General features: G+C 36.6%; 1 protein-coding gene across 30 annotated transcripts in view; it reads right to left on the reverse strand.

The window, feature by feature from the left end:
- The window catches only part of DICER1 (dicer 1, ribonuclease III), a 71783-nt gene continuing 57379 nt past the window's right edge, over window positions 1324-15727 (reverse strand). For 21 of the 30 annotated variants that reach the window (NR_172719.1, NR_172716.1, NR_172718.1 and 18 more), the window contains 6 exons: window positions 14876-15031; window positions 10921-11809; window positions 8984-9252; window positions 6299-6461; window positions 6130-6205; window positions 1324-5759 (listed from right to left, as the gene is read on the reverse strand). Coding sequence is in view for 24 of the 30 variants with exons in the window: in NM_001291628.2 (NP_001278557.1) it covers window positions 5594-5759; window positions 6130-6205; window positions 6299-6461; window positions 8984-9252; window positions 10921-11809; window positions 14876-15031 (1719 nt within the window). In the remaining 6 variants the exon portion in view is untranslated. Of the gene's footprint in view, window positions 5760-6129; window positions 6206-6298; window positions 6462-7664; window positions 7791-8983; window positions 9253-10441; window positions 11810-14875; window positions 15032-15727 lie in introns of those variants that run through there. The other 9 variants (NM_001395694.1, NM_001395696.1, NM_001395693.1 and 6 more) reach the window with 4 other exon arrangements.

The following is a 15727-nucleotide window of genomic DNA, read 5'->3' on the forward strand; positions in this document are numbered from 1 at the left end:
AAAAATACAAAAAATTAGCCTGGCGTGGTGGCGGGCGCCTGTAGTCCCAGCTACTCGGGAGGCTGAGGCTGGTGAATCCCTTGAACCCGGGAGGCAGAGGTTGCAGTGAGCTGAGATTGCGCCACTACATTCCAGCCTGGGTGACAGAGCGAAACTCTGTCTCAAAAAAAGAAAAAGAAAAACTTCTGGAGATGAAGGGTGGTGAGAATTGCAAAACACTGTGAAGGTACTTTATGCCATTAAACTGTACACTTAAAAATGGTTAAGATGGTAAACTTTATGTGTATTTTACCACATACACACCAAAAAACCTTCTAAGGGTTGTTCATAAACTGCCTTGCAGACCAGTTATAAAGCACTTCTCCTGGCCTGCACATCTCTCTGCTCCTTGCATCTTTCCAAGGGGCACAGACCTGAGCTGGCTGGGACCCAGCATTTACCATTCCATCTAAAACATACATTGTGCTCACGGATCTGCACACACACAAAAATTCAATCCCATCTGGATTCTTTTCACGCACATCGCAATCTGCAAAATGATACATTCAGCCTGGCTGTGTTCTTTCTTGCTAGCCGTGACAGCTGCAGACGTGAGCAGTTGCTTGTCTTGGAGGGTAGGGTCAATGGTGGCAGGAAGGACCTGTGGCCCTGAGGCTTGGCCTGAACTATCTAGAGAATTCAGGGCAGTAACATCAACACACACAAGCATGCAGCACTTACCCAAATTCCTTAGGATTAAAATATACTTTTTTCTCATCTAGTTTAGGGCAGTCAGAGAGAGAGGAAAGGAAGGGACTAATTTAAACCTACAAAGGAAAACTAAACTTTTTTCTCATTCTAAAAAACTTCTTACCATCTTGTTTCTACAACCAAATGATTCATATTAGTGCTTGGTTTACTGAGTTACAAAAAAAGTTGGGTCAAAAGGCTAAAATGATAGAATTATTTCTTAATCAACAATATTGGAAATGTGTCCTAAAAACCTGGAAGCTGAACATTCTGTCCACCTGCTTTTAGAAAAGCCAAGTTCACCTCAAGAATGTGTCAAACACATCATCTAAATAATCCAAGACCTAGAATGCATCAATCAATGTGACAGAATTTCCAAAAAGCAGATTGGAATTAAGTCTTCAAAAAAGACAGTTGTTACTATATAATTCTACAGGTGGACATGAAGCAGAACTTGGTAAACAAAATTTTATATTAAAATATGCATTTTCATATGATTCACCATGGAATTGAAACATTATAAAGATCATTTCTGCTACCACTATTTAAACGTTATTACCCACTTGAATTGAAAAAAGATGAAAGGACACAAAGTGAACAGACGATAACTTTATTGGAGATTTACTTGGCTACAATTATTACAAAAAAAACAACTAAAGGTAATTGTGATCCATAAGGTGCAGACTGCAAATTTCTGCAGCATGATTACTGTATGAATGAATGACATCATGTTCCTTAAAAAACAGCTGCAGCATGTGATGGTAAATATTTTATTGTCAATCAAATAATATGCATTAGTTTTACTTGATTTTAGTAATTTTCCTTCACTATTTACAGCAGAAAAGCCAGAAATTTACTTCCTGTTCACCTTTGCATTTTTGCTATGTAACCTGCTGCTGCAGTGAATTCTTAGTGCATCTATAAAATTTAAATTGTCTGTGGTTGATGTCCAAATAAAAATGGACTAGAAAAAAAGAAGTAATGATTAAAATATATTTACAAGTTAGTTGTGAAAAATCATTTTCACTGCTAGTGGAAAATACAATGGTCTCAATGCAAATTTCCTAGATATTGCTATTGGCGTCTCCAACAACTTTAAAAATCATTTTAATAGTCTTGGTCTTAAACATATCTTTAAAACTTTTCATGTACAATATAAAATAAAGAAATTTATCTGGAAATAATTAAATTCCTGAAAAGTAATCAGTGGTTGGAAAAATATAATTATTCAAATGTAATTAAAACAACCATATAGGTAATAAACATGACATGAGTTTCTCTTCTGCAGATAATGCAAATGGGTTAAAGACTCTTAACATAATTTCAGATGCAGTTAAAAAAAGGTATCAAGGTCTCAGTTTGGTGGCTTCAATCTTGTGTAAAGGGATTAGACACCCTAACAGAGCAAGATCCAATATTTTAAATCAACGGGGCCTTGTGCATGAACTGCGCTCGATCTGGATTCCAGTGATCCTCTGCAGTGCCCACCTGCCTCCAGGGAGCGACTGAAGAAGCCGACTGCCGGGGGAACACCTGGATTCATGAACCAAAGCAGCCTCAAGTTTCATGTTGTCAAGGCAGGGTATCAGAATCTTTCTGAGGGCAAAGTATTATTAACAAATAAAAATATCAGTATTTTAAAAGACAATTACAGGAGTGTTAGAGGTCATTCTAAATTTCATCACTTCACGTAATATAAAAGAAAAAAGAAAAGAAATATAACAAACATTTTAAAAACATAATTAAGAGTTCAGTTAACAAATCTGTTTCATACTTTCACAAACAGTAAAAATGCCACAGACAAAAATGACCTATTTAAGTTGTGCGAGTATATGACACATTGCAGGCATTATAATTATCTTTTTCAAATTCCATAAATCAAAACAGCAGCAAGGCCAAACCACATTTTTTTCCTCTCTGTTAAGCATATTTTCTTGAAATGAGGTAAAGCATGGTACCAAGTGCAATGCTTATCTGTGCTACATGAACAGAACAGAAGGGAAAAAGCTATTATAAAACGCAGCATAGTTAGGACTGCGGAAAGCATATTATAAAAGAAATTTTAAAAAATTTACAAATGAAGGTTCATGTTAACTAACTTGCACACAATCATCATAAGGAATTTCTGCAGTTGCTTTTTCAAGACACGCCTCCCCAGTCCTTTACACACGTGCTCAGGGCACAACCACACCCCACTGGTAGGTTTTCCATATTACATTCGGTCTCACATTGCAATCACAGGAACACAGGGTGGCACACAGGGCTCTAAAGTGGGGCAACATAGAGTGATTTTTTTTTTCCTTAATTGACAGATGCAAAACATTTCAACAAGCTAAACACAGGAAAACTTTACAGCATTAAAAATCAGCAGCACAAAAGCGTTCATAACCATTTCATATGTCTAACTCGTACTTTTTTATTTTTTAACTCAGTAACCAGGGGATCACAGAATGCTTCAAACTGTGAGTCAAATTAAAATCTACTATTTTTCTCCAACAAAAAGTGAAACGGCTGAAGTTTGCTGTTGATAAAACATTTGAATGGTAGAAGGAAATTTGAACCCCTGAGAATGTATGACCTAATCATGTCTAAGTTTGAACATCTTAGTATTAACAAAAAAATACTCTTCTTAAGGTTACAAATATATTGAGGCATTTTTCTCCCACTGGGAATCATAACTGTGAAAACAATCTGATTTTGGTGCCAGGAATCAAGAGAATCCCGTAACACTGGGATCAATGTATTAGACACAATGCAAAGCCCTAAGCTCCTGGCATCAGGTAGTTTATAAATATTAAGAGATTTGTGATTAAACTTGATCACAAATCACCCTCAGAATAAAATTCACATCCAGCCTTGTTAACTGCACACTTTTACAGTTATATAATTCAAGAATTGCTTTGTTTTAACTGGTCATATCTTACATTAAGGTTTTTTAAAAAATCAAATAGACATCTAAGGTTCCAAATCGGAATTAAATATTTTTAAAACAAGTCACCTAATTTGCTCAAAAACTCGTTTAATAATTTAGATCTCAATTTAAGTTTAAGATTGGAGACAACAAAAAACACTGGAGAAGCTTAATACCCCCCTCACTCAGGGTTCCTTAGAAAGCAGAGCTGACAGTTTTCTGTCGGTGCACTCGCACAGAGGCATTTCTCTGTGGGTGGATGATGCAGATAAAGCAGGAAGGACAGTATTCAAATGTCACTTACATATAAATGCAGCATTCCACGAAGCATCAAGTTCAGAATCATGTGCTGGGAAATATGAGACACCTCTGCTCAGCTTTCTTAAACTTCAAGCATAATTAACGGGGCAAATTGCAGCAAACCTCTACTGGTATGTTGATGGGAGTGCAAGACTGACCCACAGCTTTTAAAAAGGTAAATTAAGAGGTATTATAGTTACAGTGCAAAAAAAAAAAAATTAAAATTTCAAGCATAATACATAAACATAGCACCAAACAGGGGAAAAATGCATGCAAAAGAAAAGAAGAACTGAGGTATTTAAGTGAAGAGTGCCTACAAGTCTAATTAAAGAAACTTAGGCAAATGCCTAAAGAAGTTTTTTTTTTTTTCCTTTTCCAAAGATGGAAATAATGAGCTAGTTTATCTAAATTAATGACCTAAATCACAGATGTATCAAAATTACGGCAGTTTATCGCAAACGTTAAACTTTCACGGCATTAACAGCACAGCTTTGGTAGGTGAAATATGCATGCAACATTATGAAAAGTATAGTAAGAAATTTATGTGAGGAGACTAAGGGTAAAGGTGCTGTGTTTTGCTTCTTAAATAAGTAACCAATCAATTATAAAATCTGCAGCATATTTTAGGTGTGATATGTCTAAGGTTTATTTTGTTAGAGCAACAGCCTAGAAGGCAAAATTATTTGCCATAAACATTTCCATCAGTGGGAACTACCTGGCAGGAGGACTTTAGTAAAATGGGGTGTTTAGCCAAAGATCATTTTTATGATAAAAAATATCCGTAGACTACATATTCTGGTTTTTAAAATGTCTTCAGTATACATATGACAGAAATTTTAGTATGATCCTGTAATAAGTTACAACTATACTAGTGAGTTGTAAGTATCACGCTGTCTCAACGTCTAATGCATAATAAAATGAAAGGAATGTAAAACAGTTTGTTCCAAAAAGATCAGAGATTAAAGACTATCCATGAAGGTTTCACTTTTAAGGCAAGAACCCTTTTTTATGCAAGACTATGTGGCATCAGAAAACTAAAATGTGATTCACCAACATGCCAGCCAATGTTCATTAAAAATCTGTCCCTTACTATCAGGTGCAACAGCGACCGGGAACATCACCTTACACAGTATAACGTGGAAAGAAAAGACAACATTGGCGCACTTCTCCTCTCGAAAACCTTATCTTTCTATTCAGCTTATCAACTACTGCAGGACTGGCACTACTGCACACACGGAGAGATGGAGAAGAATCTACATCATCCTAGGGACTGCTGGAGGTTTAAGCTCCATGGCCTTCTAACACTAAGCAAAGCTGACATAAACTCAAAAAAAAAAAAACAAAACCTGTCAATTATTTTGAGCACTTGCTAAATGTCATCATTAAAGCACTCTTGTGATTTAAACAAAGCAGAAGTGAGGAAAGAAGATAAGATTGTGTTTGCGCAAAAAACTAAAACTACAATTAGTTCCAAAATTTTATACATATGTTAAATGTTTTATTCTGTTATCTATCCTGTTATCAACCAAACTTTAAATTCTGCCTTCAATTCATTCCACTCACTAACAACTTTAAGTCTTCCTTTCCGATTTAAATAATTTTCCCCTTAATTTTTTTTGTTTTGTTTCTTGTTTTGAATTTTAAAAAGCGGTTTCAGCTATTGGGAACCTGAGGTTGATTAGCTTTGAGGCTTCGGAGGGCTCTTCTTGCTGCTGCAGATTTGGCAATCCTGTAACTTCGACCAACACCTTTAAATTTCCCCTTTCCTACTACTTCCACAGTGACTCTGACCTTCCCGTCGTAAGTTCTCTCAGCCGGGCTGTAAAAAATCCAAACAGCTTGAATTAGAAGTCAGAAGTATTTATTATCATTGTCAATCAGCATTTAGTGTGCACTCTCAGGCCAGGAGTCCCATGTATAAGCTGACACCACACAAAGGAAACACGCGTTACGACTTACTGCAATTGCATACCCCCGACAGACAGGGCTGCCGTCTAGTCTTTATTACAGCATTATTTCATAAAAACAGAAGGAAAAAAGAGAAGTCAATCAGATTACAAACAGAAATCTGACAACAGCACACCACAGTGTAAATATTTTTCAGAATCATTAGTTTACAATATCTTTGTGAACTTTTCCCCTTTGATGTTTTTAAGTTAATGTTTTTTCCATGTACATTTTTTGCTTACCTAAATTTGGCAGTTTCTGGTTCCATTTCAAGCAATTCTCGCACAGGGGAACGGGGTACATTTGCAGAAAACTTTTCTGCAATCAAAATGAAAGAATAATATGAATAATATCTCTGAAGTTGTTTTTAATTTTGTGGGTTTTTTTCTTTCTAAAGGGAGCCAACAATACCTATTAGTGGCCGCATCATGGGATAGTACACCTGCCAGACTGTCTCCAGTGACATCCCACTATCCATGTAAATGGCACCAGCAAGCGACTCAAAAATATCCCCCATGGCCTTTGGAACTTCAATATCCTCTTCTTTCTCTTCATCCTCCTCAGATCTCCTAAGCTATTACAGAGGGAAAAGTGACTTGTAAGCAAAAAGGCCACTTTTACAGGCAGTCCACAGATGTAGTTTCTTTTCTTGGATATATGACTTTTGTTACTTCTTTAGTAAGGGGGGAAATACCATTTATGGTATGCCTACTATATTGTAATAGTAAAACAAATGTTATATTTTTAAAAAAGTTTTTCAAACTTCTCAAGAAAAAAAGAAAAAATATCCCCACCCCATTTATTATTCTATATACCCAGCAAAGAAAAAAGATTACTTCTAACTTTAAACAACCTTAACAAAGAATTAGAAATAGTCAATAAAAGTATGAAAAAAATTCAAATTCACTCGTAATCAAAGAACTATACTTTAAAACAGTTCTACTCCCTAGCTGCTTGGCAAGCATTCAATAGTACTAATTGGTCTGGTGCTGGCACGGGTGTATGCTGCTTTGGGGAGCAGAAATCGCTGTTGTAGGGAAATAGGGAAATTATATTTGAAAGATTTTTTCCTCCAAGTTCCCTCTTCATTAAGCCACTAGATATGTGTTCACTATAACCGAGTATCTGACATAGCATGTATGCAAATTAATAAAAGAAAATCATGCATCAAAAGCCTTTGAAAAGTTCACAATTCTTTGATGCAGCAATTGCATCTCTAAGAACTTATTTTAAGGAGGTAACTAGATACATAAGCGTATTTATCACCTCCATGGTTATTAAACATCCTAACCAAAAACTACTTAATTACTCGGCCATAAAGAAGCGTTTAAATCAATCAGCCACGTGTTGACTAGCGTGTGGCCCCTGAGCATCACGATACCCATCAATACACGGAAAGTCAGCCACAATATATTATACGTGAAAAGAACAGGTGACAGTATCCTATACATAACAGAATTCCATTTTACATTTTAGATATGTTTATATCTATACACATCCACAATTCCTCCCAAAATGTTAATATTGGTTATTTCCGAGGTAGCATAATCAGGCAAATTTAACTAATTTTCTTCTTATTTACTTGTACTAACTTTTCTAAAATCAACACAAATCATTTGTGAAAAAAATAAAGAGAAAGTGGGAAAATACTAATTTCTAATAGGTTGTTTAGCCATACAAAGTTACATATAATACATTTATACTGCTGATTACTTAAAAAAACAGACTTATTGTTCATATTTATGGTTTTGAGATAGAAAGGAATTTTAAAACTTACCAAGTTTAATTCTCTCTTTTTACAGCTGAGGAAACGGAGGCCCAGAGAGGTAAAGAGACTTTCTTAAGATCAAATAGTAAGTTAGAAATGCCAGACCATGACATTTCCAATCAGTTCTTGTAACTTCTATACATATGTTTATATAAACAAAGGGAAGGAAAAGAATGAACAAAAACTAACAAAACCAATATGCCCCACTGGCATCCAAAGAGAGCTTAAATCTAATTTTAACTAATTCCTCAAATTTCAAGCTTAGCTATTTCTAAAGAATGAGACTAGGTAACACTTGGAAGTCTACGAGCTGGTCCCGCCTTCTCGCCTCACAGCCTGCCACGCTCCAGCTCAGGCTGTTCATCTTGGACAAGAGCACAGAGGCGCGTTAAAGTAAGAGCAGGGCCTACTGACTCCTCCAGTGCACATCTGGGCAGCTGGCAGGGCGTGAACTCGGCTCTGCGGCTAGACTTCAAACCTACTCTTAATTTTTGTCATAGAAAGTCACTACTCCCCAACAAAGGTTTGGTGCAATTAAAAAGGGGAAGGTACAAATTAAAGCAATGACAACTAAAACAGCTACTAGTATTAAGGTTGTATTTCCTGACTCCTTATAAGAAAATCTACAAAAATAAGAAAATCAAAGGAAATGAAATGGGAAGAGGAGGAAATGAGAGTCTCTCTGGGGGACACAGGTATGCAGATGAATGTTAAGAGACTGGAAAGATCTAAGCAATATCCTTTCCTACAAAAATTCGAAATAGCTCACAAACACATTAGAATTAGCTCTGTCACCAGACAGCCTTTGGCTGAACTTACAATAGAAGCCTCCCAAATTCCAATGGTCAAAAATTTAGAAGTTTGTTTTTTAAATTAGATTTTCCCACTTCAAGTAGAAGCAGAATGTATATTTATGATGCTTCCCTGAGATATTAGCAAATATTTCTGATCCATTTAAAAAAGGAAGGATAAGCTACACTGGGCTTTTACTAAAGCTAAACCTGCCTTGGGGTCCGGCAGTGGAGGCCACTTCTTTGGCATGCCTCAATGCTGGAAGCCCTCATGAAGGCGTGGGAAGGGTACCTAACTGAAAGGCCTGGTTCCTTCTCTTCACCTGAATGACCACACAGCCCACAGTGGGGGCAGACAAGTTCAAGAGGCCTACCTGCAAACTGCAGTTCACTCGTGCTCCCACAGAACACAGCACACTGGGTCCCACACCCCTGACCTCCTGCTGTCCCTTTAGACCACTATGCCGTCAGAACTCTGAAACTACAGAGACTCCTAGTTAGACCACTTTTTTCAACATCGTTTTGAACAGCACTAACCTCAGAATCCATTCCTTGCATTTCATTCTTCTCAAGCTGAAACTGCACAAAGTCATCAATGACATGGAAGAGCTCAGGAGAGACAGCTTTGAAGTACTTGTGGTAGTCGTACTTTACAGCCAGCGATGCAAAGATGGTGTTGTTGACCAGGGCAGACCGCAGGTCTGTCAGGACCCCCGGGGAGTGCTGCCGCGGGTCTTCATAAAGGTGCTTGGTTATGAGGTAGTCCAAAATCGCATCTCCCAGGAATTCTAAGCGCTGGTAACAATCTGAGGGGATCCGAAGTGGAACCGTAAGCTTGTGCAGAAGCATTTACACTATCCCCACATAGCAACTGATCCCCAAATCCGAAGAAGATTTGTATTTACAATCATTTTCATACATATATTCTTCAAAAAGGATATCTGACATATCATACTAAAAAGCCTCTGGAAACTAAATTTTAATGACAAATTAAGTACATTTCTTATATAAACTGGGGTCATAAAATCTTCAAGTGGTCAAAAGACTAACGCTTGTTAAGAAGGAAAAACAAAACCTCACAGGTGCTATCATGATCACTGAATGCTTTTCTCTGGCACTGTGCTGTCTGGGCAGGTGCTGGGGCCTTCCTCTCGAGTCTCCCTCACACATCATCACTTAAGTGAAACCAGGGCCGCACACACCTCTCCATGTGGCTACACTGTGCTGCCATCGCTAAAGTCTCATTCACACTCTGGAATCTGTGCATAAGTGATACCATTCCTCACTATTCCTGGGCTATTTTTGTTACACAGGATGACAGGAAAAGAAGACCCTCTTCTTAACTTGAGCTATTATAGAAATGAATTTACCACAAACCAAGAGATTGAGAAAGAAGAGTTGTGAAAGGGAGCAAAGGCAGGTAAACTGGTTGTCAAAATGTGAAAATGATCAATGTTAAATCAACACCTCTATTTTCTCACAGTGATTAAAATAATATATCCAGCTGAGGAAACTGAGGCAGGGACCGATGGTGACTTGTCCCAGAATAAGCAAGGAATTAAGAAGCAGGGACTGCTAGGCGAGAACCCAGGTCTCGGAACTTCCAGCAGAATGTAGTCGAAAGCCACGTATCATTTTTCCTCCATAACGAAAATTAGGCTTTAGTTTCATCAGTCTTTCCAGTCCAGAGTCAGATAGTTTTTCACTTTTTGGTTTTTACATTTTGCTGATCACCTTAACCTACGCTGCTTTTATTATATAAACTACAAACTTTATACTTTGCTTTGGTGTTCTGAATTCAGGCACTTATTTTTCTGATACAGAAATTGAAATGTAAACTTCAGCTGTGTTTCACAGCCTGAAGCTGATTTGGGTGTGAGGGGCTTGTTCTCCCTTCTAATCTAATGGGTTGACAGTCTATTAAAAGAGGGGCAAATACAGAGCACAGTGAGAAGTAGAAGATGACAGCAGAGTCACAGCAAGGGCCACGCAACCTTCTTGTGAAATCATTGCTTTTAATCTTTTAATCTATCCATCTTTAAAAAGACCCTAAAGGAGGGGTCTTTTTGTCCAGGAAGAACAATAAAAGGCTGTGGAAATACATCCAGAATATACAACTAAATCAAAAACCAAAAGCAGCACTGAATGGGCAAGAGAAAGATATTTGCGGAGGATAAAATGGGGAAAACACATCAAAATACTAAGGTTAAAATTTCTCTAATTAGGCAGATATAAAATGACACTGATGAGGGTATATGATAGCCATACTCCCAACAACCAAAGTTATAAAGCAATACGTGCTCCCCAAATAACAAGGAAAAGAATTCTTTCTATTCCTTTTGTTCCCCGCCCCATCCCTTGAATATTAAGCATGAACACTGTACATGCATAGATCACTTTTACAAGGCCAACACGATGAGATCAACACAAAGTCTCATTTTCCCAGAAATGAAGTCTGGTCGTGGGCTCCTTACCAGTGATAGTATTGTAGTGGTAGGAGGCATGTGTAAAAGCCTGGAGAAGGTAAGCCTTATTCTTGAATCTGTAGTTGATTTTCTTTTCAAAATTTTCAAACCCCGATATAAGGTGATTCAGTGTTTTATCTGCATCTGGATGATCAAACATACATCTTGGTGGAATCTTCAAACAACCATATTCCGAGTCTTTCAATACAGAAGAGCGTGAACTGGCCACAGAAGCAGCAGCACAGCTCACTGAAAGGTTCTTTTGTTGGCTGTTGAAATTCTCCCGAGTAGGGCACAGGGCCTTTTCCCGATCAGTCCTTTTAATTACCGGGAGCACCTTCAGCCCCAGTGAACAGAGGAAAAGCTGAGCAGCCCTCTCCCCACAGCTGGTTAAATAGCAGCCCAGCAGGGCTTCCACACAGTCCGCTATGCTTTTGTCAGCAATACACTGCTCAGTGTGCAAGTCGTAAGAAATGGACTGCTTTCCCGTGTCAACACCACAGTTTTCTTCTGATGGATTCCAGAACCCCACCACAAAGTCATCTTCTTCAACAGCTTTGCTAGGATCCAGATAGCACATTGCATCCCAAGAGCTGTAGTCAAAATCCTCAAAATCTGATGAAAATGGCATACTACCTAAGGAGGATTTTTTGGGCATTTTCCATTCATATGCAGAATCAGTGGTTGAAAAAGGAGAAAGAGAGATTTTCTTTACAAAAGCTCCTGACCCCATTAACATATTATCTATAAATCTGATATGTTCCTGATCATACTCCAGGAAATCATCTTCATAGTCAGCCTCTTCCTTCGGAGCCCTCCACATCAGGCTCTCCTCCTCCTCATCCTCCTCCTCGTAATCCTCATCCAGTTTGCCATTCGCCAGCATGCAGTCTTTTGTCTGAAACGAGGGGGAATGGGGAAGGAGGGGAAACATAGCTGCTGTTTTTAAAAGGGTTTGAAACTCAATAAAAGCAAGGGTTATGGATAATTTCAAATGACAACCACAAATACTAAAAGGCAACTTTAAAATCATGGCCATTTGTTTTCAATTAACATAAAATAAGTTATTTAATCATATAAACAAAGTAAAACATGTTCTTTGAATGTTCGTTTTCTAAGTTATAAAATGACCTTTATCCAGTATGAAGCTTTAAGTTAAGGACTTTGAACATGGATATAAAGTTAAAATTAATGTCCACAATGCAAAACTTCAACTAAGTCGTCTAACTCTGGTAGGACACACAATGAAAGCACTCATATGCTGATCACACAGATCTTCAATTTTGCTGACAAAATTTGAAAATGTGGTAATTTGATTTTCAAAAAGATTTTCAAACTAATAAAACGAAATTCCAGATGTAGAAAAGCATTACCTTTGCAATTAAGAATATAATATAAAAACAGATAAAATCATTTTTTAAAATGTACAATAGGATTTTATAATAAAGCTTTTTGTCCCTATTTCCACTTCAAAGTATACTTGCCACAAAAAAACTACACTGCTTTCCTTAAAAAATAAAAGTGATCACTGCACTAAGCTATGAATTTGAGAAGTTACGTTTTTTCCCTCCACTCTGAACTACGGTAATCAGGGGAACAGATTATAGCATAACTGACAAAAATGGAAGAAAATTTAGACTAACATGAAACACAACAATCCAATTTCTGTCAAAAGATCTTTGCTAATTCCAATTTCTTTGGCAAAAGCTTATTTGTGAGTGACAACCTTAATAATGGGCTAGATTTCAGTAATGATGTAACTTCTTTGCAATCCTAGAAAGATGCCAAATTTCTGTTATGCAAGTTTTTAAAAAACCAAAAAACTTGTGAAGGGGGAAGACGAAGGGTGTGCATCAATGTTGATTGTAACAACTTTCCAGTGTTCTGACAAAAAAAAGTTGCAACCTTCAAGCATTTTTTAAATACTACAAATATTTTAAACTAGACTCAAGATATAAACACTACATTTGTCTGAAAAGAAATAGCAGTAAGCCAAGCCATATCTCTAACTATTTATCTTTTCATTTTTTTAATTAAGAAAGAAACACCTTTTCAAGAATAAGGAACACCAAAAGCAACTGTAGCGGCAGACCTCAAGGAACATTTCCTGCTAACAATCTTAGACTTTCCAAGGCAACATGAAGATGTTTTTGATTGGTCCTTAAGAAAAAGAGGGCCAAACTGCGATTTTTAAAAAATCAGACAATATTTTTTTTTTATTGAAAAAAACCTTCTGTATCTTTAGAAAGGTGCCACCATAAGCCAAAAGTGGCAGAGCACAAAAATCACAAAGGGCTGACTTTTATCACAAACTGTGTGATCCTGGGCAAAGCCTTTTAGTGCCTCTGGGTTTCAGATGCTTCATCTACAAAAGAGTGGGGTTCTGTCTCATAAAATGTTTTTCAAGAGCACTTCAAGCCTTTTAAGAAAAAACAGCCACATGAAATCCTTTTCTATATCATTCAAGTCAACTTTGATACTCTCGTCTATTAAGAGGCGTTTTAGCATGCAAAGGTTTCCACTTAAGCCCATTTGCTGAAGGGCCAGAGCAAGGTAGGGAGAATGGCAATGCAACCAGCCAAAACCACAGTGTATCTTTTCAATATAATGCAAGGGCCTATATTTCAATAAAAGTAACTTACTAAATAAAAATCTGAACAGTATTTCTAATGAATTCCAATAACCAAAGTGCCATCAGAAACATTAAGAAAAATAAATTGAACTTTGTGTTGTATCTTAAAAAAAAAATCAATGACATGCCAATGTCACCTTCATGCTACAAGTTTTTAAAAAGAGCCAAAAACATTATGAAACGGTATTAACAAAGGAGGATGACTGTTACTGGAATGTTATTCATAGAAATACCATACCATTTCTAAAGTTGAAAATCTATACATTTTCCTCTAAGGTTCTACATATTTCTAAATTAATAACAAATAATTGTTCGGACCTAACTTGCATTAAAATATTCCCTTAATGCTTTTCCAAATAAGTTCTAATTCTGTAATAAGACAAATACTACATGAGTTAAAAACATCCTCAATAAATAGGTAAAAATCCAAATAGTGTCACTGAACATGCTACCTGGAAATACTTAAAGGCAGATATATAGGATACATGCATCACAAAGAAGACATGGAGAAAATGGATATTTAAAAATATAACCTTTGAAAGAAAAAAACGGTATTATCATTGTTGGCCTGAGGTAAAAATGAAGTAACAATGAGCCAATTTATTTTTAATGCAAAATAAATCTCCAAGAAATGAAACTGTCTGAAGCATTGCCTTTAACTTCGGAAGAGGCACTAGAACTCTCCCAGTCAACCACCACTGCGCTGGTTCCTGCAGTTTGGAGGCCCTCCCAAGTGCCCTCTGGTGGCCTTCAAGACAAGACAAAATGAAGTGGCTGTTGCTGATATTTGGAGTCTTCTTAAGTCACTGGCAAGATTTAAATTATTTCCAGAAAATAACAATCTTTATGGATGATTTTTTTTTTTTAAGTTCACAGGAGTCCTGACTGGGAAAACCCTGAGCTACAAAAGCAAGATTTTACTGAAATTAATTATTTCACAGACAGACTGGAGATCACAGGTCACTGAAAAGTCATTTCACTGAACAGAGCTAAGGATCTAGGATAAATTGTAATAACAGCAAAGTGAAATTTTTTTAAAGAAGAGCAAAACTCAAAGTCAAAACATCACATACTCTTATGCCTTTGGAAAAGAAATAATAAAAATAGAAATTTGCCTCCATCAAAATTATAATACTATTTCTGAATTCAGTGAAAAGACAGTGTAATTAAAGGAATTAATTAAATATATCAAATATCTACTCTATTATAAACATACCAAGAAAATGAAACAAAAAATTAATAAAACAAATTATTTGGCTCACCGAAAAGTAAATCCCTCCAGTTACACACACACACACACACACACACACACACACACACACACAAACTTACCATTTCATCTTTTTCCCATTTATCTGTGTTGCTTTTGTCTTGATTTACTACATAACCAGGAGGAAGCCAATTCACAGGGGGATCAAATATTGACACCACCATGCGGCTGGGTAGTCCCTTCTTTTTTCCAAGGCGATACAGATTACAGTTGCTGACCTTTAGCAGAAAATATTAGGATACTTATCCATAAATGATCACTGCTGGAATTCATTCAAGGCATATTAACATATCCTCAGTTAAATGTTCTTAAAATTAATCAATTAATTATATGTCATCAATTAATTATAAGGGCTCTACAGTTTTTCTACCCATTCATGTTATAAAAAGAATATTAAATTCCCACATATTCTATGCTTTTTTGGTGTAAATATTTCTGAATATAAGATGCAGAGCAGAAAAAATAATGTATATAACTATGCATACTCCTTATGAATGACTGAGAAGAAACACTTCAGACAATATCAAAGCCTTGAAAATACAACCTGATGATATAAAATGCAAACTGCTAACTGGAATTACCAAAGTAGAAAAGAACCCATAGAAAAAGTCAAGATGTCACAATATTTTCAATGAAATGGGGGGAGGATGCCATCAGCTCTAGCTGCAAAGTGAAAACTGGCACCGAACAAAACTGAAACAATGTTATATTCCTAGAATCGAAGCCACAAACGGGATTTCAACTGTAATGCTCTCTCAAATATTATTCCTTTGTTTTACAGCCATTTCAAGACACTTTTATTCAACTTAAAAAAAATGAACCAAAAGGTTTCTGTTTATTCACATTAATGGAACAGCTTTACTATCTTACCCTCTACTCCGGTCTGTTTTTCCTAATGCCTCTATCTCCTTCTT

This window comes from Homo sapiens, chromosome 14 (assembly GCF_000001405.40).
Source record: "Homo sapiens chromosome 14, GRCh38.p14 Primary Assembly".
Lineage (NCBI taxonomy): Eukaryota > Metazoa > Chordata > Mammalia > Primates > Hominidae > Homo > Homo sapiens.